General features: G+C 45.7%; 2 protein-coding genes across 14 annotated transcripts in view; one reads left to right on the top strand and one right to left on the bottom strand.

Moving 5' to 3' along the window:
• Nucleotides 1–5,610, top strand: part of LRRC37A (leucine rich repeat containing 37A) — an 89,751-nt gene extending 84,141 nt beyond the window's left edge. For 8 of the 9 annotated variants that reach the window (XM_047437205.1, XM_047437200.1, XM_047437206.1 and 5 more), the window contains 5 exons: nucleotides 368–472; nucleotides 3,361–3,410; nucleotides 5,112–5,166; nucleotides 5,245–5,384; nucleotides 5,491–5,610. In XM_047437205.1, the coding sequence (XP_047293161.1) occupies nucleotides 368–472; nucleotides 3,361–3,410; nucleotides 5,112–5,166; nucleotides 5,245–5,384; nucleotides 5,491–5,539 (399 nt within the window). In that variant the 3' untranslated portion in view covers nucleotides 5,540–5,610. The remainder of the gene's footprint in view (nucleotides 1–367; nucleotides 473–3,360; nucleotides 3,411–5,111; nucleotides 5,167–5,244; nucleotides 5,385–5,490) is intronic. The other variant, XM_047437196.1, reaches the window with a different exon arrangement.
• Nucleotides 1–22,014, bottom strand: part of ARL17B (ARF like GTPase 17B) — an 87,604-nt gene that overhangs the window by 58,001 nt on the left and 7,589 nt on the right. For 3 of the 5 annotated variants that reach the window (NM_001103154.2, NM_001352769.1, NM_001330240.1), the window contains exon 3: nucleotides 20,636–20,746. In NM_001103154.2, coding sequence (NP_001096624.1) covers nucleotides 20,636–20,746 — 111 coding nt within the window. Of the gene's footprint in view, nucleotides 1–2,717; nucleotides 7,591–20,635; nucleotides 20,747–22,014 lie in introns of those variants that run through there. The other 2 variants (NM_001363805.1, NM_001039083.5) reach the window with 2 other exon arrangements.

Raw genomic sequence — 22,014 nt, forward strand, 5'->3', positions numbered from 1 at the left:
AGCTCACGCCTGTAATCTCAGCACTTTGGGAGGCGAAGGTGGGTGGATTACTTGAAGTCAGGAGTTTGAGACCAGCTTGGCCAACATAGTGAAAGCCTGTCTCCACAAAAAATAAGAAAATTAGCTGGGTTGATGACACGTGCCTGTAGTCCCAGCTACTTGGAAGGCTGAGGTGGGAGGATCACCTGAGCCCAGGGAGGTCGAGTCTAGTGAACGGTGATTGCACCACGGTACCCAAGCCTGGGTGACAGAGTGAGACCCTCTTTCAAAAAAATAAAAAAGAACCTGTCAGCTACTCACCTGGAATACTGGGGTTTTGAATAGTTAGCTCTCATTCTGGTTTTTTTTTGTGTGTTTTTTTTTTTAGCTCAAAAAAGAAGTTCCAGGATATGGCTATACTGACAAACTCATCTTGGCATTAATTGTTACTGGAATACTAACGATTTTGATTATACTTTTCTGCCTCATTGTGGTAAGGACAATAATTAATTCAGGTTTTCAGAATGCAGTCCTGTCTTTGTGTGGATTCAGAGCTCACAAACTGAAAACCAAAGCCACTTTCCCACCTGCTGCTACTTGACATACTTCTTCAGTCATTTAAGGCTGAGGTGTATGCTTTGTTCTTTTATTGCAGTGTATATTTCAGGATTTTTAAAGGATCCTCGCTTTCAGATCTCTGTGAATTGAAACCAAGTGAATCCCACTAGACTATTTTAAGAAGTCGATATAATAGCAAAATTTCTCCCACCCAAAACTATGTCAACAATTGGATGTACTCATCAAGTCACCCTTACTCTGCCACTAATTTATTTCCTTGTTGCTGAAATGATGAGAGAGGTATAATCTCCACCCTCACGGAGTTGTCATCACCCTGGAGAGGAAGGAGAGAGCCAAAAGACATACGTATTGTCTTGTAGACTTATTAGATTTACACAGTATCATCCTCCAGTGTGTAAGGCATTGTCTAAATAGGTCCAGTTAAAGCACTACAGAGTAGCCATCTTTTACAAAAATTTTTGGCCACATTTTTAAGTTCACTGGTGAGGAGGAACGTCTCATACTCTAGCCCTCCTGAGCCTATACCCTCTGTGAGATGTGTCACCATTTCTTGGACACCATGTGAGACATTCCCCCTCAGATTAGAGATGCTCAGCTTGCATCAACTTACCTAAAGCCTACATCTGGCTACTCTGGGACAAGTCCTGTTTACAGTGCCCATTCCTGGAGCTTGCCTCTGTCTTTTGTTCGATTACATGATGTATTACTTTTCCCAACAGGCCAGTGCTAGCATATTGGAAGAGTGATTTAATAAAGCTGGCAACCTTGACGCTATGCTACCAGTCCAACCTTACTTGCCTCATTTACCATTTCCATTATTGTGGCAGCCCTCCATTCCAGCCACAGCAGCCCCTCACCAAACCCCAGTCACACCACCCACATTTCTGCTTTTGTCTGTGTGTTTGTCCATCTAAAATGCCCTTATTTCACTCTGCCTGTGGGAGTCCTATGCATCTCTCAAAAGCCAACTCAAGTTCATCTTTCTTCTTGACACCTTCCCTGAATATTCCAGCCCTGCTGAGCCTGGTCCCTTTGTGAGATTTGTCACCATTTCTTGGACACCATATGAGAGACTTCAGAGGCTGAAGTGGGAGGATCGCTTGAGCCTGGGAGGTCGAGGATGCAGTGAGCTGTGGTCGTACCACTGCACTCTAGCCTGGGCAACACAGCTAGGCCCTGTCTTAAAAACAGCCACCACCAAAAACTATCTTGGGATTTGAATAGGATTACGTTAAATTTGTAGATTAATTTGAGAATTTACATCTGTACGACATTCTAGGAACGTGCTATCTCATGTCATGTATTCATTTCTTGTTAATGTCTTTCAGAAGAGCTTTAGTGTTTCCATATATAGATCTTATACATCTTTTGTTAGATAAAAGATCTTTGTATTTTTGTTCCTAAATTCTTCATACATTTGTATTGCCATTGTAAATGGGATCTTTCTTCCATTTTCTAATTAGTTATTGGTGGTACATGGGAAAAGTATTTGAGGTTTGTGTGCTGATTTCTTGATTTTGTAGATAGCCACTGTATTGAATTCTCATTACTTCCAGTAAAATCTTAGTTGATTCTCTTAGGCTTCTTTGGCTAACATTTATCATTTAATATGCAAATAATGATAGTTTTGTCTCTTCCTTTCCAATACTTCTACTCTTTCCTTCCTTTCCCTTTTCCTTTTTCCTTTCCTTTCCTTTCCTTTTTTTTCCCTTCTCAGGGCCTTGTTGTCACCCAGGCTGGAGAGCAATGGTGTGACCTAGCTCACTGTAACATCAAACTCCTGGGCTTAAGGGATCCTCCTGCCTCAGCTTCCTGAGTGGCTGGGACTACAGGCAGGCAGCTAATTTAAAAAATGTGTTCGTAGAGACAAGGTCTTGCTATGTTGCCCAGGCTGGTTTTCCTGCCACTTCAGAGGAAGGACTCAGGTTTCCTTTTTCTCCTACTTTTAAGAGTTTTTATTAGGAATTATCTGTTGAATGTTATCTAAAACAGTCAATAAAATGTATTAAGTGCCAGCTGCATGCAAGACCCTAAGTTAGATACAGTCAGCCCTCTTCATCAGCAGGTCCACATCTTCAGATTCAACTAGATCAGGCTGAATATTTGAAGAAAAAAAAACCAATAAAAATACAAACAGAAAGTACAATATAACAACTGTCAACAATGTACAATATGTATACATTTTATTAGTGATGACTTAAATTACATGGGGCCAGGCATGGTGGCTCACACTTGTAATCCCAACACATTGGGAGGCCAACCTGGGCAGCATAGTGAGACCTTGTCTTTATTAAAAATTAAAAAAAAAATAGCCAGGTGTGGTAGTATGCACCTGTAGTCTCAGCTACTCAAGAGGCTGAGGTGGGCGGATCACTGGAGCCCAGGAGGTTGAGGCTACAGTGAGCTGTGATCGTGACACCGCACTCCATCCTGAGTAACAGAGGATGACACTGCACTCCAGCGTAAGCAACAGAGGGCAATCCTGTCGCTAAGTAAATAAAGTATAGGGGGGATGCGTGTTGGTTATAAGCAAATATTACACCATTATATGTAAGGGATTGAGCATCCACAGATTCTGGTATGGTGTGGGGGCGGTATCCTAGAACCAATCCCCCGCAAGATAGCAAGGATGACTGAACTATGGAAGAATCAAAGCAGTGTTACACAGCATACAATTCCTGTCTTCAAAAAAGTTACCTCATCAGGTACATGAGACTTATAATGAATAAAAGGAATCAATACAGATTTGGAGATGGTGGTTGTTGTCATAGATAATCTTAATTGCGTTTTCTTCTAAAACAGATATGTTGTCACCGAAGGTCATTACAAGAAGATGAAGAAGGATTCTCAAGGTAAATATTAGTCTGGTGATTTTTTTTTTCTTCTCTTTTGAGATGGAGTTTCCCTCTTGTTGCCAGGCTGGAGTGCAATGACACGATCTCGGCTCACGGCAACCTCCACTTCCCAGGTTCAAGCGATTCTCCTGCCTCAGCCTCCCGAGTAGCTGGGATTACAGGCATGCACCACTAGTCTCGCGACGTTTTAATTAGAATTTTAGAATTAGAGGAGGGCTTAGAACTCTGCCCTCATTTTTCAGTGAGGAAACTGCCCAAGACAGGACAAATACTTACCCTAATGCTTAGCCTGGCTCCAGTGAAATTAGCTCCCCAGCCAAAGCTGAGCTGGATGGAACTAACAAGGACACACCTGCTGTCCCCAGCCCTTTCGGGAGGTGGGGAGGGATAGGAAGGAGAAAGGTTTTGGTGCCTATTGCTGCTGATGGTGGGCATCAGGCCAGGCCAGGGGCCTTCTTGGAGGCTCTGGGAAAGGGGAAGGGAAGGCCACCGGGTGTGAGAGAGAGGGCACTTGTCTCCTTCAAGGCTGATGGAAGGTAGGATATGCGAGTCCTTCCTCTTAAGTGGCAGGAAACAGTATTTTCTCTTTTATTTCTTTTTTTTTCCCCTGGATCCTAGAACTGAGGAAACACTATTTTCTCATCTTACTGGTTTTTGGGCCCCTACTCTATTCCTTTTATGCAAACCTCACAGAATTTTAACCAGAAAGGCCAGGCAGGATGGCTCACGCCTGTAATCACAGCACTTTGGGATCACTTGAGGTTAGGAGCTCGTGACCAGCCTGACCAACATGGTGAAACCCCATCTCTACTAAAAATACTAAATTAGCTGGGTGTGGTGGCGCAGGCGTGTAATCCCAGCTACTTGGGAGGCTGAGGCAGGAGAACTGCTTGAGCCCAGGAGGCGCAGGTTGCAGGGAGCCAAGATAGCACCATTGCACTCCAGCCTGGGGAATGAGCCAAACTGTCTCAAATAAAAAAAAAACAACAAAAAAGAATTTTAACTACGGAGACCTTAGATAGTAGTTTGTCCTTTTATGACAGGAAAACTGAGAAGGAGAAAGGGAGAGTGTCTTACTTACCCCATGGTCACACAATGCACTCTGCCTTTTCCTATTTTATTCAAATTCAAAAATAACATGTTGTGCTTTAAGCTGATTTCGTAGCTCACTCACTCATCAGCGACAGCCAGCCATATGAAGACTGTGAGATAGAGAACTTGGCTAGCTGCACTCACGCATTTGCTTGAGGTGATCCAACTTATAGAATAAAGTATCTAGAAAACGAAGAACCACTTCATCTCCCATCCCCCATCAAATGATGCCTGTGAGACTAAGTCCGAAGGGGACTGATATAAAATGCTTCTGCCCAGCATGGTTGTGCAGTTTGTTCACTGCACAAGGGCACTTGGCCAAGGGAGTGAGTGGGACTGAAAATCCTGCCCCTGCTCCATGCTGAGCCACATACAAAGTCCCCCCAGTATATTGTGGGGCCCTTCTGGGCAGACATGGAGAGCTTCTGAAAGTCCCACATGCATGGAATTATTTTCAAGACCCCGGGTATGTGGTCTGTGGTGGTGGTTCTCCCTGTGATTATGGACTGAGATACTCATTTAGTCCTAATAAGACCAGAGAAGTACATTGTGAGATACGTGGGAAACGGCTGCATCACTCACTGTCTTGTGCATGTGTCTCCCCAGGGGCATTTTCAGATTTCTGCCATGGAGGGGATGCTCTTCGCGAAGGGAGAGTCAGGTACATTGGAGGATTCATTGCTGTGGCCAGGGAAAGCAGAGGACATGCAAAATTAATATTTCCCTTTCTATCTTCTAGGATGGACTTTCCTCATTTGGACAGCCGCTCTGGTTTAAAGATCTGTACAAACCTCTCAGTGCCACAAGAATAAATAATCATGCATGGAAGCTGCACAAGAAGTCATCTAATGAGGACAAGATCCTCAACAGGGACCCTGGGTAAATGATGGGGCCCTCACAGTTCCCATCTAAAATGAGGAGGGGGTGAGAAGCTTAATTGCTCCTTTCAAGAATGAAAACCTTGGCATTGTTATTCTTATCCCAGGGACAGCGAAGCCCCAACGGAGGAGGAGGAGAGTGAAGCCCTGCCATAGGAGGAGAACACAGCCCACCTCAGGCCTCCTGCAAAAATACATAGAATAAACAACAACAGTTACTAAATGAATGAAAATTGTGATTCCGATGAAGCCTGCCAGAGAAACAAAGCATTTTTTAAAAGAGGAAATAAGGTGATATCTGATTAGGGCAAACATGATGCAGACAAGAAATGCACCGGTTCAGAGGAGGGAAGGTCAGGCCGCCTGGGGAGAGTCCATGAAAAAGATGGAACGTGCCAGATGCTGTACCTGGTGCTGGGAAAGAGTTGACTAGGCCAGCATCCCTTTCCTCAAAGGGGGGGCTCCTAGACTGGGGGGAGGGCTGGACATCTGAATACATCCTGAGGAGACAGTGTGGGACAGCATGGTGGCAGTGGAACCAGCCGTGGTTCTGCTCTTGGTCGGCTGGAAAGGAGTAGATGTAAGGGATGGTTTAGAAGAAGGGAAGTGGAAGAAAAGTTTTCTGAGCTGACAAGAGGAAGGAAAGGCCGCCTAGAAGGACACTAAAAAGGCAAGAGAAGCCCTAAGCAGAGTGAGCACCAGACTCCACAGGTTAAGGGCTCAGTCACACAGAACCATCCGCATGTCAGACCCCAGGTGCAAGGCCAAGCATCACCTATGCATCTGACCAACTGGCTGTAAATTGGAGGTCCCCACAACTCCCTCCTCAGGTTTGAACATTTGCTAGAACAGCTCATGGAACCCAGGAAAACAGTTTTCTTACTAGTGCTGATTTATTACAAAGGATATTTTAAAGGACACAAATGATGAAGCCAGTTGAAGAGATACACAGGGTGAGGTTTGGAAGGGTCCTTGTGGAGTTGGGGTGCACCACTCTCCTGGAACATGGATGTGTTCGCCAACCCGGAAGCTCTCCAAGTCCTGTCTTTTAAGGAGTTTTCTGGAGGCTTTATCACGTAGGCATGATTGAGCTCCAGCTCTACTCCCCACGCCAGAGGATGGGGAATGGGGCTGACAGCACAACGCTTCCAACCATAGGTCTTTTTGGTGACCAGTCCCCAAATAAGGAGCCCACCAAGAGTCACCTCATGAGAACAAAGGACGCTTCTATCACCCAGAAAATTCCAAGGGATTTAGGAGCTCTGTGTCAGGAACCAGGTTTAAGGACCAAATGTTAGAACAAAAGATGTGCAACCATAAAAAACAGCGAGATCATGTCTTTTGCAGGAACACAGATGGAGCTAGAGGCCATTATCCTCAGCAAACTAAGACAGGAACAGAAAACCAAATACTGTATGTTCTTTTAAGTGGGAGCAAAATGATGAGAACTCATAAACAACAGACACTGGGCCCTACCTGAGGGTGGAGGGTGGGAGGAGGGAGAGGAGCAGAAAAAACTATTGGGTACTAGGCTTGGTACCTGGGTGATGAAATAATCTGTACAACAAACCCCCATGACACAAGTTTAGCTATATAACGAACGTGCATATGTACCCCCTAACCTAAAAGGAAAGTTTAAAAAGGAAAAAACACCTAGGAGAAAAGAAAAATGATAAATTAACAAAGGACAATGCTCTTAGCACCGCCATCATTCAGGAATTTCCAAGGGTTTTAGGAGCTTTGTGTTAGGAACTGGGGTCAGAGACCAAATATATATTTCTTCTTATGTTACACTACCCCAGATAGGAAAACAGAAATTACTCTAGATATTTCAAACAAAAAAGGGTTGTATATAGGCAATTAGTGCTTATCACTGGAGGTGCTAGAGGTGGTGAAGGTTGTGGGGATGGGGTTGCACCACTGGCTTTCAGGCTACTTTACCACAGCTGATTTCCAGAGGATGGAAGAAGTCAGGAAACTTGGGAAACCGCTGCTGAGGTCCTTGCAGCCCCACGGTCCCCAGGCTGGTGACTGGTGGGGGAGTATGGAGTCCAGCTGACCACCAGAGCCTGCACACCTGCTGCTATGGGGGAGGAAAGGATGACTTCTACCTCCTTTCCACATTCCAAATTCCACGTGACTACATTTTATTGGCAGCACCCCGCTGGCAAGTGAGCCTTGATGTGTGCTTCCTGGGCTTCTGGCACCTGCACAGAAAGGGGTGAAATGAGTGTCACGAGCAGCCACCACTCTGCATCACACCTCCACATCCAGGTGTGCTGGAGAGCCCCACTTACACTTGGAGTGTCCTGGTGCCCTACCCACTTTTGGTAGGTGTTTGGGTGTCTGAGGCTTTGCAAAAGAAGAAGGTGGGGAGTCTATGGTGGAGTCACATGGTGGAGACCTAGCTAAGTCAGAGGCCTGGAGAGGTGTCACTGGCTGGGCAGCAGGTAACACACAATCATCCTGAGCTGATTGGAGAAACACCTGGGATTGATTCAGAGTTTTTTCTGGAATGTTTTCACTGGAATGAAAGCTGAGCGGTCTGCAGGCCATATAGTATTGGAGAAAACTTAGCCCTCATTGAAAAAGGCTGCCAGAGAAAAGGTATCCACAGGGAAATTCAGGAGTTTTGTTTGTTTTTTTTTCTTTTTTTTTTTCTTTTAAGGTGGAGTTTTGCTCTTGTTGCTCAGTCTGGAATGCAATGGCACGATCTCAGCTCACTGCATCCTCCGCCTCCTGGGTTCAAGCAAGTCTCCTGCCTCAGCCTCCCTAGTAGCTGGGGTTACAGGCATGCACCACCATGCCCGGCTAATTTTTGTATTTTTAGTAGAGATGGGGTTTCACCATGTTGGTCAGGCTGGTCTCGAACTCCTGACCTCAGGTAATCCACCCGCCCTGGCCTCCCAAAGGGCTGAGATTACAGGTGCGAGCTACCGCGCCTGGCTTGTTTTGGGTTTTGGGGTTTTTTTTGTGTTTTGTTTGTTTGTTTGTTTTTGGAGACAGTCTCTGTCACCCAGGCTGGAGTGCAGCAGCGTGATCTCGGTTGACTGCAACCTCTGCCTTCCAGGTTCAAGTGATTCTCCTGCCTCAGCCTCCCGAATAGCTGGGATTACAGGCACCCACCACCATGCCCGGCCAATTTTTTTTTTTTTTTCTAAAAACAGTTTCACCATGTTGGCCAGGCTAGTCTTGAACTCCTGACCTCAAGTGATCCGCTCACCTTGGCCTCCCAAAGTGCTGGGATTACAGGCATGAGTCACTGTGCCCCGCCAGGAAATTCAGTTTCTGAAAATACACCTGTGGATCTCTAGCCTAGAAAAAGGGACCTCTTTTATTCTTTTTTTTTTTTTTTCCAGAGACGGGCCTCACTTTGTTGCCCAGGCTGGTTTTGAACTCCTGGCCTCAAGTGATCCTCCCGCCTTGGTCTCTCAACGTACTGGGATTACAGGTGGGAGTCCCCGCGCCCGGCAAAGCCTATATTAAACCCTTTTATGCACACTCGGCGGTACTGCAGAGAGGGCAGGGAGGAAGCAGAGGTGCCCTGGCATCTTCAGCTGGAGGTGAGCAGGGCGCTGAGGGTGGGAGAGGCCCGGCGCCTGGGGATGGGAGGCAGGACTGCACCTTCACAGGGACGCTTCCACCCTACCCCGGAGGTCAGGGCCTCTCGCCCAGCTCTGGCTCTGAGGTCCTGGAGGGAGGGAGATGCTGTTGCGACTCAGAAGATTGGGGGAGGGCCACCCCCATTCGAGAAGAGTGAAAATCCTGAGCCTGAAGAAGTGGAACCGGTTGGAGCCGAGGCTTTAGAGGATGGCGTTCGAAAGAGGGTCTGGCGCCGCCCTGTGGACCGTTCGGGCTCGCAGGGCCGAAGGCTCCGAAGACTGAGACCTGTGAACCATGGGGAGGCTCCATGCGGATGGGGGCCACAGCCCCCGCCGGAGCCCCCACACTAGCCCTGGACTTCTCCACTGGCTTACGACATGAGAGCTCAATATGCTCCTTATTTAACGCACTGTTGTATCAGGTCCCTGTGGGAGCCACTGGCTCTATAGCCTAATAAAGGAGCGGGTGCACGCACTGGATTGGTGAGCTACCGCCACTGCAACGCGTCCTAATCAACCATCCTAAACGGCGGCTGGAACAAGGTTCTCGCAGGCCTGTGCTTGGGCTTGAACGCTGGTCCAGCCGCTGCGCTCTGTGGCTCCCTGTAGGCCTGCGGATCGGCCAGGGGGCTCCGTTCCTTTTGGGCGGAGGCTGAAGAAGCAGCGGCTGCACCAGAGAAGGCCCTCTGGGTGAAGGTGGGAGCGCACGGGGCCCGCGGAACCACCTAAGGCGACTTCAGACGTGGGCTCGGAACTGGCAGCCTTTCGTTTCTGCTTCATTCCAAGGCCAGAGCAAGCCACGTGGGCAAACCCAAAGCCAGGGGACAGGAAAGTATCCTCCACCCACAACGAAACCATGGCAAGCGGTGGATGCAGGTACGGCCAATAGTCTATCTATCCCGGTGAGTGAGGAGACCTGCTTTGAGGGTTGCACAACCTGGATCTGCTTTTACAGTGGTGTCTGTCACTATGAAGACTCCACCATGGGTCGCCATCAGGTCAGGGACCCTGACAAGGCAAGAACTGCATCTTCCTCTGCACACAGCTCTGCTCCCTTCCCCGCCATGCCTAACACCAAGCCTAGCCCTGAGGGATGACTCAGGAATATTACTGAGAGCATTTTAGGCCATTCCTTCATTATCCCCATGTGACTTGTTATGAAATATAGACTGACTTCCTGAAGATCAGCACATAGTGCTAAGTATTTGGCTTGTAATCTGTAGAGACTCTGCCATTTGGAGCTGGGATCTGTCCCCAGAGCTGTCAGACACCAAATCCCGTATCTACTGCCACCCAAAGGGACCTCCAGAAGAAAGGGGTTATACAGGGTCAAACACCAAGGCAGGTTAGTGAAATTTCTCTAGAGGCCATTTAAAGCTGGAGTCTCACCACCTGAACTGCCCTCAGAGGAAGGCTGTCTAGGGCACAAACCTAGTCAGGGGTCCACATGGACTTAAGGACAATTTTTTTTTTTTTTTTTTTTTTTGAGACAGTCTCATTCTGTCATCAAGGCTCGAGTGCAGTGGTGTGAACTCAGCTCACTGCAAGTCTCAACCTCCTGGGCTCAGGTGATCCTCCCACCTCAGCCTCCCGAGTAGCGGGAACCACAGGCTCGTGCCATGATGCCCAATTAATTTTCTTTTAAATTTTTTGTAGAGATGAGGTCTCCCCGTGTTGCTCAGTCTAATCTTGAACTCCTGGACTCAAATGATCCTCCTGCCTCTGCTCCTCAAAGTCCTGGGACTACAGGTGTGAGCCAATGCACCTGGCCTCTTATGAATAATTTTAAAAACAATGAGGTTCACCGTCAGAGCCCCTGCTGCTCTACCAAGTCCCTTGGCCCCTCTCAACAGGGCAAAAGCAAGATGAGCCCCAGATGTTCTGCTTAATGACCACCTTTCCCAGGAGACTTTGCTCTTTAAAGGAGAACCACTTAGAGATATGAGCAACCTTAAAGAATGCCACCAGCACTAGTGAATGCCAGGCACGGGCCACGTGGGTGGAGAGTATACTTTAGGGCAGTCACTCATGGTAAATTATTTCCACCAGCCCCCAGAAGTGACTATTCAATGTCCAACTATGTCAGGCCCAGGCTAATAAAAGTAGAGGCATGAGGAACCTAGGGTTGTTCTGAAGTGCCTTGATTATGGTACATGTGGAAGATTTTAGAGCTTGTTGTAAAAAGTGATGACCCATGGCCCCCCAGGCTGGGTCTGGGATTCCCTTTGTGGATTACAAGAGGATATTATGCAGCAGTTTTTAAAAATGAGGCAGACTGGGACAATCTATCTCCAAGATGCATAGGTGCTGTTAAGGGAACAAAGCAAGATTTAGTAGGGCGTGTATAGTATGCTACTGTGCGCTGTGCGTTATCTGTACAGAACTGTGAGGTCTGATACAGTAGCCACTAGCCACATATGGCTATTTACATATAAATTTAGGTTGGCCACAGTGGCTCATGCCTGTAATCCTAGCACTTTGGGAGGCCAAGTGGGAGGATAGCTTGAGGCCAATAGTTCAAGAACACCCTGGGCAACATAGTGAAGCCCCTTTTCTACAAAAAATTTATTTATTTATTTATTTTTATTTTTTTTGAGACGGGTCTCACTCTGTCACCCAGGCTGGAGTGCAGTGGCGCAGTCTCAGCTTATTACAACATCTGCCTCCTGGGTTCAAGCGATTATCGTGCCTCAGCCTCCAAGTAGCTGGGACTACAGGCACGCACCACCATACCCAGCAAATTTTTGTATTTTTGGTAGAGACAAGGTTTTGCCATGTTGGCCAGGCTGGTCTTGAACTCCTGACCTCAGGTGATCTGCCCGCCTCAGCCTCCCAAAGTGCTGAGATTACAGGCATGAGCCACTGCGCCCAGGCAAAAAATTTAAAATTGTAAAAATCAGCCAAACATGGTGGCATTCATCTGTAGTCCCAGCAACTTAGGAGGCTGAGGTGGGAGGATTTCTTGAGCCCAGGAGGTCAAGGTTGCAGTGACCTATGACTGCACCACTGCACTCCAGCCTGGACAACAGAGTGAGGCCCTGTCTCAAAAAATAAATAAATAGGAGTTTGAGGCCATGTTCACACATCACTGCAGTCCAGTCTGGTAAACAGAGCAAGACGCTGAGTCTTTAACAAAAAAAAAAAAATTTTTAAAGTCAGCTGCTAAGACACACTAGCCACATATCAAGTGCTCAACTGCCCCGTGTGGCTAATGGCTTCCAAACTGGCAGCACAGGCAACTGTTTTCATCACTGAAGTTCTGTTGGACAAGAATACCTCTGGAAGCACACACGAGAAACTGGTAATGGCGGTTGCCTTCCGGGAGGGAAACTGGGAGAGTGCAGGGCTGTATGCCCTTTTGTACCTCTTGAATTTCATATCATGCGTTTGTACTAGGTGTTTACAAATTATTTTAAAAACATACTGGGAATTAGGAATCCCCATATGGAATCACTGCAGTGGGACACTGATTCCCAAAAAATTACTTTGCAATTTGCCTAAAACAAATTAAGCTAATAGCTATCATGATTTCATATTTAATATTTTTTCACAGCTTAGAGTTTTTTTAGCTCCTGTTGCTATCTCTCTGCTCTTATGAGCTCACAGGGTGACAAAGTGAATTAGTAAGTAGCAGGAGAACATTAAAGGAAAAACTCCTGGGCAACAGGGCAAAACGCCGGCTCTACAGAAAATACAAAACATTAGCCAGGCATGGTGGCATGCACCTATGGTCTTAGCGACTTGGGAGGCTGAGGTGGGAGGATCGCTTGAGCCCGGAAGGCGGTAACTCAATCCCAGCAGAATCCCAGGGAGCGAAGGTGGCTCATCCCAAAAGAAAAACAAGAAGGAAATTCTATTACCAGAAGACAAAGGGATGAAATGAGGGATGGAGAATCAAAGACTGAAGCTACTAGGGTTTGTTTTTATTAATATTTAATTTTTTCAGAGGCGAGGGTCTCAGTATGTTGCCCAGGCTGGCCTTGAACTCCTGGCCTCAAGCAATCCTCCTGCCTGAGCCTTCCGAGTTGTTGGGATTACAGATATGAGCCACTGCATCCAACTTTGGTTCTTGTTTGTCTGTTTTGTTTTGTTTTGGTTTGTTTTTTTGACAGAGTTTTGCTGTGCCACCCAGGCAGTGACTCAGCCTCGGCTCACTGCAGCCTTGACCTTCTGGCCTCGAGTGATCCTCCCACCTCAGCGCCACCCCCCACTGCCCTCCAATATCTGGGACTACAGGTGCGCGTGACCGCACACAGCTAATTTTTAAATTTTTTGTAGAGATAGGGTTTCACTATGTGGCTCAGGCTGGTCTCCAACTCCTGGACTAAGCGATCTGCCTGCCTTGGCCACCTCCCAAAGTGTGAGCCACCATGCCCACCCATTGAACATTGAAGCTAGACTGGGCAAACCCTTAAGCCTAAACCAGTAACAGTTTTTCACAAGTTCATAGATGTTACTGTGGTTAATAACACACAAATTCATTTAAAAGCATGTGTGTCCACATAGTAATTTTTGGTCCTTATTTTTATTTTTATTTTTCAGTTAATGGATATTAAAGATACAACTTTATTTTGTTTTTTTTGAGACAGGGTCTCACTCTGTCACCCAGGCTGGAGTGCAGTGGCATGATCAGAGCTCATTGCAACCTCCACCTCCTGGGTTCAAGAGATTCTCCTCCCTCAGCTTCCTGAGTAGCTGGGATTGCAGGTACATGCAACCACACCTGGCTAATTTTTGTACTTTTTGTAGAGATAGGGTTTTACCATGTTGCTCAGGCTGGTTTTGAACTCCTGAGCTCAAGTGATCCACCTGCCTCGGCCTCCCAAACTGCTGGGATTACACAAGTGAGCCACCACACCCGGCCTAAAGATATAATTTCTATCATGAGGAGGTCCAAGAACTATTCTCTTTTTCTTTTTTTAATGTTAGAAAGGGATTAACTGGGTATGTGCTGCAGCAAAGGGAGGGGAAATTAAGCAAGAAGAGAAGGGAGCCAGGAAATAAAGGCCCCAACCCAGGAAGCAGTTAAGCAAAGTTCCAGGATGACCCATGTGACAAGTTTAGGGGATAACTTGAGCACATGGAGGACAGAACTTGGAGAGGGCACTGTGGGCCTGGGCGCCACCTGCTCCGCCAGAGCACTGGAAGAGAACGAGGGCACGATAATGGCAGATGGCACTGAAAGAAAAGGAGAGAGCTTGAGGCACCCTTGGGGGAAGCAGCCATCATCAGAGTGTATTTTATTTTTATTTTATTATATTTTGAGATAGAGTCTCACTCTGTTGCCCAGGCTGGAGTGCAGTGGCATGATCTCGGCTCACTGCAACCTCCACCTCCCAGGTTCAAGTGATTCTCTGCCTCAGCCTCCCAAGTAGCTGAGACTACAGGGGGGCACCACCACACCCGGCTAATTTTTGTATTTTTAGTAGAGATGGGGTTTCTCCATGTTGGCCAGGTTGGTCTTGAACTCCCGACCTCAGGTGATCCGCCCACCTTGGCCTCCCGAAGTGCTGGGATTACAGGCGTGAGCCACCATGCCTGACCTCACAGCACATTATTAAGCTCTGTGGTGAATAATATTTATATAGTCACAATTCTGTAAACACTGTTCATTTTCTACAAATTGTGGCAAACCCAAACCTCAAGAATGGACAGGGCTAGGGTGTAAAAGAGCTAAGTCCTTGCCAGGTTTACCAGGAAGGCAACAGACAGTGTCTAAAACTATGAGACAGCTGGGCGCGGTGGCTCACGCCTGTAATCCCAGCACTTTGGGAGGCCGAGGCGGGTGGATCACGTGAGGTCAGGAGTTTGAGATCAGCCTTGACAACATGGTGAAACCCCGCGTCTACTAAAAATATCAAATTAGCTGGGCATGGTGGCAGGTGCCTGTAATCCCAGCTATTAGGGAGGCTGAGGCAGGAGCATTGCTTGAACCCAGGAGGCGGAGGTTGCAGTGAGCCAAGATGGCACCATGCATAGGTTTTATGCCAATACTACACCATTTTATATCAAAGCCTTGAATATCCAAGGATTTTGGTATCTATGGGAGGTCCTGGAACTAATCCCCCACAGATACCAAAGGATGAGTATACACCTTTTCTTACTTTCGAATTTTGAACCAGACAGATACGCTGCAATTCAACAAATTAAAATAACTGAACCTACAATCAAGGAGAAAAATATTTATCCCTAATAACTAATGGACCATCTTACGCCGTCTATAAAAATATCAATTAAGAAATCACGGCCGGGCACAGTGGCTCACGTCTGTAATCCCAGCACTTTGGGAGGCCGAGGCGGGCAAATCACTTGAGGTCAGGAGTTTAAGACTAGCCTGGCAAACGTGGTGAAACCCCATCTCTACTGAAAATATAAACAAATTAGCCAGGCATGGTGACGGGCACCTGTAATCCCAGCTACTCGGGAGGCTGAGGCAGGAGAATTGCTTGACCCAGGAGGTGGAGGTTGCAGTGAGCCGAGATCACACCACTTCACTCCAGCCTGGGTGACAGCAAGACTCCGCCTCAAAAAACAACAACAACAACAAAAAACGCGGTGATACACGCCTATAATCCCAGCACTTTGGGAGGCCAAGGCGGGCGGATCACAAGGTCAAGAGATCCAAGACCATCCTGGCCAACATGGTAAAACCCCATCTCTACTAAAAATACAAAAATTAGCTGGGCATGGCGCGCACCTGTAGTCCCAGCTACTTGGGCGGCTGAAGCAGGAGAATCGCTTGAACCTGGGAGGTGGAGGTTGCAGCGAGCCGAGATTGTGCCACTGCACTCCAGCCTGGCGACAAAGCGAGACTCCGTCTCAAAAAAATAAAAAAGAAATCAGAAACTGTTCAAATTCCAATCTATACAAGTGAAACCTACACAGTTAAATGTCTTAATAGAGAGCTAAAAGCATTAAGTTCTGTCATACTCAACATACTGATGAAAAAAATTTGAACTAAAAGACAGCCTGATCTTTAGAAACTGGCAGAAAAAATAGGGGCTGCATCCAAGACCACTCACGGCACGTCCATTCTTCCAGCAGCTCCCAACTGCTATTTTATGAAAAGTCCAAATTTCCCACCCCAAGGTCCTAGAGTACAGCCAGCTCCCTACCATCAAAAACAATAGCTACCAAAACTCAGTAAAATTAGGCTTGTTATGAAGAGAAGATTGAAGAAATAAAGGTATTTATTTCATCTTGGTATTTGAATGTGGAAACTCCCAGTAGGGTAAGAAAAAAGAATTCTGCCAGAGAAATGATGAAGTGAAACCTCAAACAATTTGGGCTTTTGAGTGCCTACTGTCATCCAGCCACGAAATGAAGCATTTTACATAAGTAATTTAAGCCCAGTGATGCAGGCAGTAAGTATTATCTCCATTTTAAGATGAGGAAATTGAGACAGACGAGATTACCTAACTCTCTCAAGGTTTCACCACAGAGCTGTGGTTCAAACCCATGTGTTCTAGTTTTATTACAGTTAAGAAACTGCAAGAGTTTGCCAATTTGTCAAGTGCCAGTCCAAGATAAATGGACACTCTGAGTATCAAAAAAATACATAATCTGCAGATCAAAACACGAAGATACAAACATCTAAGAGTCACCATGGAAGTTGCGGGGCATCCAGTGGTTTTTCTGAAAATCCATGAAGGAAAAGAATAAAGCATTTTTCCAGCCTTTCTTCTACAAACTATATTTCAGGGAAACCAAATATTTGATGAGGGAATTCTTTGTTTAGAAGGATTTTAGCTAATAAATGCAGAGGAATAACAAGATTTAGGAGGGGGGAGAAATCACCATTTTGTGACTTCTAATAAAATAATGGGTCTAGGCAACAGTTTTCAATGGATGCTAAAACGATTAGGTGAAAAGTTGATGGAGAATTTTAATTCAGGGGAATTAGGCTGATACCATCTGAAACCATTTGGCATCATTAAAAATGTGACAACCTGGTGGCTGCCAGGGAGGAAGGGGAGAGGGTGGGGGAAGAACAGAAGTTATAGTTTATGGGCACAAAGTTTTGGTTTTACAAGATGAAAATAGTTACAGAAATGAATGGTGGTGATGGTTGCAGAATATTATGACTGACTATACACTTAAAAATGTTTAAGATAGAGCTGGGTGCAGTGTTGCACACCTGTAGTCCCAGTTATGCAGGAGGCTGAGGTAGGAGAACCACTTGAGCCCATGAGTTCGAGACCAGTCTGAGTAACATATAGAGACCTCATCTCACAAAAACATCACTACCACAAAACAAAACAAAACAAATTGTTAAGATGCTAAATTTTAAGTTATGTGTATTTTACCACAATAAAAAAAAATGAGGCCGGGTGCAGTGGCTCATGCCTGTAATCCCAGCACCTTGGGAGGCCGAGGCGGGTGGACCACAAGGTCAGGAGTTCGAGACTGGCCTGGTCAATATGGTGAAACCCTGTCTCTACTAAAAATACAAAAAAACTAGCCGGACGTGGTGGCTCACGCCTATAGTCCCAGCTACTCGGGAGGCTAAGGCAGGAGAATCACTTGAACCCAGGAGGCTGGGGTTGCAGTGAGCCGAGACTGCACCACTGCACTCCAGCCTGGCCAATAGAGGGAGACTCCGTCTCAAAAAAAAAAAAAAAAAGAAAAGAAAACATAGTTACCCAGCAATTCCACTTCTAGGCATATACCCAAAGAACTCAAAGCAGGGACTCAAACAGATACTTGGACATGAATCTTCATAGCAACACTATTCATAATAGACAAAAAGCAGAAGCAACTCAAGAGTCCATCGATAGATGAATGGATAAACAAAATGTGGTATATCCATAAAATAGAATATCATTCAGCCATAAAAGGAATTAAGTTCTGATACATACTACAGCATAGATGAACCTTGAAAACATTGTACTAAGTGAAAGAGGCCAGGCAGCTAAACTTCCAAAGACTAATATACAATTCCACTGAATAGGCAAATTCATAGACAGAGGATAGAATAAAGGCTAATGAGGGGTGGGGGAGAAGAGAATGGGCAGTTATTGCTAATGGATACAAAGTTTCTGTTGGGGATGATGAAAAAATTGTGGAACTGGACAGTGGTGATGGTTGTAAAACACGGTGAATGTACTTAATGCCACTGAATTGTACACTTAAAAATAAACTTGTAAATTTTATATTATATATACTTTGCCACAATAAAAATTTTTTTAAAAATGTCTAAGTGTGACAACCGAACTTCTGTGTTAGGATAGGAAGAATACTTATGAAGTATTCTTGCCCCTGAAATGAACCAAAATCTAATCAAGTCTCTAGAATAAACAACCAGTTCACAGGAAATCCACAGATAGCCAAGCAAGTTAGATGGCACCATAATAAAGTAATCAACCAAATCCAGAATGTGGAATAAGCAGTTAAAAAAAAAAAAAAAGGGGGGGGGAGGCCAGGCGAGGTGGCTCACACTATGGTCTCAGCACTTTGGGAGGCCAAGGTGGGCAGATGCTTGAGCCCAGGAGTTTGAGACCAGATTGGGCAACATGGTGAAAATCCATCTCTATAAAAAGTACAAAAAAATTTGCTAGGTGTGATGGTATGCACCTGTGGTCCCAGCTACCTGGGAGGCTGAAGTCAGACAATCGCTTGACTCCAGGAGGCAGAGGTTACAGTGAGCCAAGATTGTGCCACTGCACGAGACCCTGTCTCCAAAAAAAAAAAGGAAAAAAAAAGGCATAGAGAAAGAACAACTGCTGTAGAATAAAAGACTAAAGAGGCAAAACAACAAAATGCACTGTGCGAACTCTGATCCAGATGCAAACAAAGCAGATGTAGAAAAGATGTAGAAAGGATACTTTTTTTTTCTCTTTTTTTTTTTTTTTTGAGATGGAGTCTCGCCCTGTCGCCCAGGCTGGGGTGCAATGGCGCAATCTCGGCTCACTGCAACCTCCGCCTCCTGGGTTCAAGAGAATCTCCTGTCTCAGCCTCCCGAGTAGCTGGGATTACAGGCATGCACCACCAAGCCTGGCTAATTTTTTTTGCATATTTTTAGTAGAGACAGGGTTTCACCATGTTGGCCAGGCTGGTCTCCAACTCCTGACCTCAGGTAATCCACCAGGCTTGGCTTCCCAAAGTGCTGGGATTACAGGTGTAAGCCACCACACTCAGCCAGGATACATTTGATACAACTGGAGAAATTAGAATAAGGACTAGGTGCTAGATATTAAAGAATTATTATTAATTTTGGAGATGTTATAATAGCATGAAGATTTTATATATATATATATGCCTTATCAGTTGGAAATGAACACTAAAGGACATATGAATAAAAGGCATCATGTCTGGGATGGGCAAAATGCTTATAACTGTTGAGGCTTGGTGATGGGTACATGGGGGTTCGTTATGTTATCCTCTCTGTCTTTGTATTTGTTTTAGATTTTCCACTAAAAAAGTTAAAAAAATAAATGCACTACTTTGAGAAAAAACATTCTAAAATCTATAGCCTGGAAAAGATAACTGCAAATAGAGTTAATTGCCAAAGGTAACAGCTAAAACAATGATATAAAATATAAAGGGACAGTCGACTTGGGTATTTCATCTGGAAAGACTGACGAATATGTAAGTCTTTACTATCAAGTACATGCAGGAGAATCTTCAAAACAAACAGACTCCAAATAAATTCTAAAATGAGAAATTTGTAGATTCCATATGGTTAATATTTTACATGAAAATCGGGGTGTAAAAACTATAGTCAGCCCTCTGTATCCACAGATTCAACCCACCTTGAACCAAAAATATTAAAAAGTAATAACGCAGGCCGGACACGGTGGCTCACGCCTATAATCCCAGAACTTTGGGAGGCCGAGGCGGGTGGATCACCTGAGGTCGGGAGTTCGAGACCAGCCTGACCAACATGGAGAAACCCCGTCTCTACTAAAAATACAAAATTAGCCGGGCGTGGTGGTGCATGCCTGTAATCCCAGCTACTCAGGAGGCTGAGGCAGGAGAACCACTTGAACCCGGGAGGCGGAGGTTGTGGTTAGCCGAGATCGCGCCATTGCACTCCAGCCTAGGCAACAAGAGTGAAACTCCGTCTCAAAAAATAAATAAATAAGTAAATAAATAAAAATAATAACGCAACAGTAAAAAAAAAAAATACAAATAATACAGTCTAACTATATAGCATTTACATGCTAGTAGACATAAGAAGTAATCTAGTAGTGATTTAAAGTAGACAGGGGGGCTGGGCACAGTGGCTCACGCCTATAAGCCCAGCACTTTGGGAGGCCAAGGTGAGCGAATCACCTGAGATCAGAAGTTCGAGACCAGCCTGACCAACATGGTGAAACCCCATCTCTACTAAAAATACAAAAATTGGCCAGGCGTGGTGGTGCATGCCTGTAACCCCAGCTACTTGGGAGGCTGAGGCAGAAGAACCACTTGAACCTGGGAGGCGGAGGTTGCAGGGAGGCAAGATCACACCACTGCACTCCAGCCTGGGCAACAGGGCAAGACTCTGTCTCACAAAAGAAACCTCCCCAGTAAGTATAAAGAGACCCTAAGAGAGGAAATGGCTGACAGTGTAAATAGAGCAGAGCACCAGAAGGTATCACTTCAAGCATCCGTCTTTAGAGACATTTCACAGAAACAGTATCGAGGCTACAAACCGAATAATCTTTACCTTTTGTGTTCTGGAAAAAATGCTGCCACAGAGGTCTGATTTTGAAGTGGCTGCCAACATCCCAGACAGCGAAGGTGTTATTTTTATATTCTACTGTCTCCACACAGAAACCTAAATGAAACATGGGGAAAACATTTAATTATGATTTGTGCTGGTTGAACAATTCAAAATAATTTCAACATGCGGACAGTACTTTTAATTTACAAAGCAGCCTGCTAGTCAAAGATCTATAGCCTTCAAAGAGAATGTGCTGGCCCCCTCGCCCATTCATCAGGACAGGTGTCTCAAACCTTCTCTACTCTCCAATCTCTAGCCACGCACCTGCCCTTTCTCTCAGCAGGAGACTATCACAGTGTACTTCAGAGCAGAGAAGCCGCCGATGGGAATGACTTCCACTTCCACCATACAGTGTAAAAGCCAGTCTACATCTTTACCCATGCTTTTCTTCCTCCCTCTTGGAACAACAGAAGAAGGTAACTCTCTTCCACCAACTCCCTCCCTCTATGAGCCAGATCCACCCTACCCAGACTGTCTGGAACTTTTTACTATTCCTATTCTCTCCCATATCTGAATATCTCCAATCTGTTCACCTTGGCATGCTTAAGCCTTTTACATCTTTAAAAACAACAAAACAAACCTTTCCTTGATCCCCACATCTTCATCGCACTCTCTTCCTTCACATCTTCACCCTCTATTTGCTTTTTTTTTTTTTAAGAGACAGGGCCTTGCTGTGTTGGCCAGGCTGGAGCACAGAGGTACAATCATAGCTCACTGCAGCCTCAAACTCCTGTGCTCAAGGGATCCTCCTGCTTCAGCCTCCCAAGCAGCTAGAACTATAAGCATGAGCCACCATACCTAGCTAAATTTAAAAAATTTTTTGTAGACACAGGGTCTCACTATGTTGCTCAGATTGGTCTAAAACTCCTGAGGTCAAGCAACCTGTCCACTAAGCTTTCTTCGGTCCTCTCACGCAACAGCACCTTAGCTCTGCTCCACCATTGGGTAGCTGGTTTTCAGTAAGGTCAGCAGTGATCACCAGGTCAATAAATCTAACACAGGCCTTCTCAGTTCTTCCATAATTTGATCTTCTATCTGACGCTACTGCTCACTCCCTCCTTGACACCCTTCCCCAGCTTCCCTTTTCCTTCTATCTCTATGGCTGTACTGTCTCAGTCTCCTTAGTGAACTCAGCCACGTTTAACTGATCCTGCAATGATGGGAGTCGCCCTGGCTCTCACTGGCCCCATCCACTCTCCTCTTTCTGCACCCCTCCCTAGGCAATCTCACTCACTCCCACGACTTCATTCCTATCTCTGTACTAACTCTGAGATTTATATCCCCCAACCTAGCCCTCTCTCCTGAGCTTCAGGCTCATAATC

Source organism: Homo sapiens, chromosome 17, assembly GCF_000001405.40.
Source record: "Homo sapiens chromosome 17, GRCh38.p14 Primary Assembly".
Lineage (NCBI taxonomy): Eukaryota > Metazoa > Chordata > Mammalia > Primates > Hominidae > Homo > Homo sapiens.